We start from the raw sequence: 2,556 nt of genomic DNA, 5'->3' as shown, positions 1-2,556 counted from the left end.
CTCTAGGACTCTTGCCCTGTGGCGTGGTCCTGGGGCCCTGTGGCTGGACCCCAGTTCCAGGACTGCTGCCTGGCAAGCACATGGCGCCCCCTGGCGGCCACCAGAATGGTGCTGCCACGAAGCTTCTGGACGTACCCTGGGCACAGGACACATTCAGGACACTGGGTCATCAATGGTCCATGACCACCTCTTAGCGTGGAGCCAGGTAGATGGGTCCATGTATCAACTTTCTTTTTTCTTTTTTTTGAGACAGAGTCTCGCTCTGTCACCCAGGCTGGAGTGCAGTGGCGCGATCTCGGCTCACTGCAACCTCTTCCTCCAGGGTTTAAGCGATTCTCCTGCCTCAGCCTCCCAAGTAGTTGGGATTACAGGTGCTTGCCACCATGCCCAGCTAATTTTTGTGTTTTCAGTAGAGACAGGTTTTTGCCACATTGGCCAGGCTGATCTCAAACTCCTGGCTTCCAGCGATCCACCTGCCTCGACCTCCCAAAGTGCTGGGATTACAGGCATGAGCCAGCATGCCCAGCCAAAATACAGATTATATACACGTAGGATGTCATCTGGTACTTCATATCTAAACGGCCTATCATCTCAGAATTGTACTTTCCCCAGTGTTTAGACTGAGGCTAGTTACTTAGTAAACTTGGATTTACAATAAGGCAATGCCCCTTTATTTTATTTTATTTTATTTATTATTGTTATTTCTTTTGAGACAGAGTCTCACTTTGTTGCCCAGGCTGGAGTGCAGCAGCCTGATCTCCACCCACTGCAACCTCTGCCTCCCGGGCTCAAGCAGTCCTCCTGCCTCAGCCTCCCCCAGTAGCTGGGATCACAGATGTGTGCCACCATGCCCAGCTAATTTTTGTATTTTTCTGTAAAGATAGGATTTTACCATGTTGCCCAGGCTGATCTTGAACTCCTGAGCTCAAGCGATCTGCTTGCCTTGGCCTCCCAAAGTACTGGGATTACAGGCGTGAGCCACCGTCCCTGGCAGGCAATGTCCTTTTAGAAAGGAGCTGTTTTTTTCCCTTGCCATCTGCAAAGATTCCTTTATTTCTCCCACAGAAACTAGTATTCATGGCCTGTAACTCCTGCTGCCAGGAAAAGAGACATCAAGCTCTTGAAGAACTGGCCAGTTTCTTCTCCATAATGGGCAAATTGTGCCTCTCCCCTCCCAGGGTTTTCGAGACCGTGACTCCACAACATGATGGGCACCCGATGCTCTCCGGTCAGCTACAGCTGGGCTCCAGGAGGGACAGACACGTGGTCACTGTATTTGCTTTGCTTATTCTCACAGGTTGCAGGGATATTGAAGGCTAAGACAAGGTCAGTGTTGAAGGACTCTAGGGGCCAGGCACGATGGCTCACGCCTGTAATCCCAGCACTTTGGGAGGCTGAGGCAAGAGGATCGCTTGAGCCCAGGAGTTTGAGATCAGCCTGCGTGACATAGTGAGACCTCAGCTCTAAAAATAAAATTGTAAAAAGTTTTAAAAATCTTGGCTGGGTGTGGTGGCTCATGCCTGTAATCCCAGCACTTTGGGAGGCCGAGGCAGGTGGATCACTTCAGGTCAGGAGTTTGAGACCAGCCTGGCCAACACAGGGAAACGCCATGTCTACTAAAAATACAGAAAAATTAGCCAGGCGTGGTGGCATGCACCTGCAGTCTCAGCTACTCGGGAGGCTGAGGTGAAAGAATTGCTTAAACCTGGGAGGCCAAGGCTTAGGTGAACTGCGATCGCTCCGCCTGGGTGACAGAGTGAAACCCTGTCTAAAAAAAAAAGAAAAAAAAGGCTTTTTGAATGCGGGGATGGTGGCCTAAAGACAGACTTGGGTGGAAGGTGTGTGGTTCTACATTTCCACCAGGAAATTCCAAATATGATCATTTAACATGACCAGAAAAGTTCTTGCTCACATTACTCTGGTTAAAACTTTTTGGGGCCAGGCGCGGTGGCTCACACCTGTAATCCCAGCACTTTGAGAGGCCGAGGCAGGTAGACCATGAGGTCAAGAGTTTGAGACCAATCTGGCCAACATGGTGAAACCCCATCTCTACTAAGAATACAAAATTAGCCGGGCGTGGTGGTGCACGCCTGTAATCCCAGCTACATGGGAGGCTGAGGCAGGAGAATCACTTGAACCTGGGAGGCAGAGGTTGCAGTGAGCCGAGATCACACCACTGCACTCCAGCCTGGTGACAGAGCGAGACTCTGTCTCAGAAAACAAACAGACAAACAAACAAACAAACAAAAACTTGCTTTTGGCTGGGTGCAGTGGCTCACGTCTGTAATCCCAGTACTTTGGGAGGCAGAGGCTGGAGGATTGCTTGAGACCAGAAGTTCGAGGCCGGCCTGGGCAACAGAACAAGACCTCACCACTGCTAAAAAATATTTGAAAAATTTTTAAAAGACACTGAGGCAGAAGAATTGTTTGAACCCGGGAGGCAGAGGTTGCAGTGAGCCAAGATCGTGCCACTGCACTCCAGTCTGGGTGACAGAGTAAAACTCCATCTCAAAAATAAATAAATAAATAAATAAATAAATAAAAGACTTGCATTTG

At 49.5% G+C, this 2,556-nt stretch overlaps 1 annotated feature.

The window, feature by feature from the left end:
* Window positions 1–50: an enhancer, noted in NCBI's record as "active region_14611". NCBI's record gives its function as "activates an Ori minimal core promoter by ATAC-STARR-seq in GM12878 lymphoblastoid cells {active_cell/tissue: GM12878}" and the evidence as "EXISTENCE:reporter gene assay evidence [ECO:0000049][PMID:35858748]".

Source organism: Homo sapiens, chromosome 19 (genome assembly GCF_000001405.40).
Source record: "Homo sapiens chromosome 19, GRCh38.p14 Primary Assembly".
NCBI lineage: Eukaryota > Metazoa > Chordata > Mammalia > Primates > Hominidae > Homo > Homo sapiens.
The sequence above is the reverse complement of the archived record's forward strand: the minus strand, read 5'-3'. Positions and strand labels throughout refer to the sequence as shown.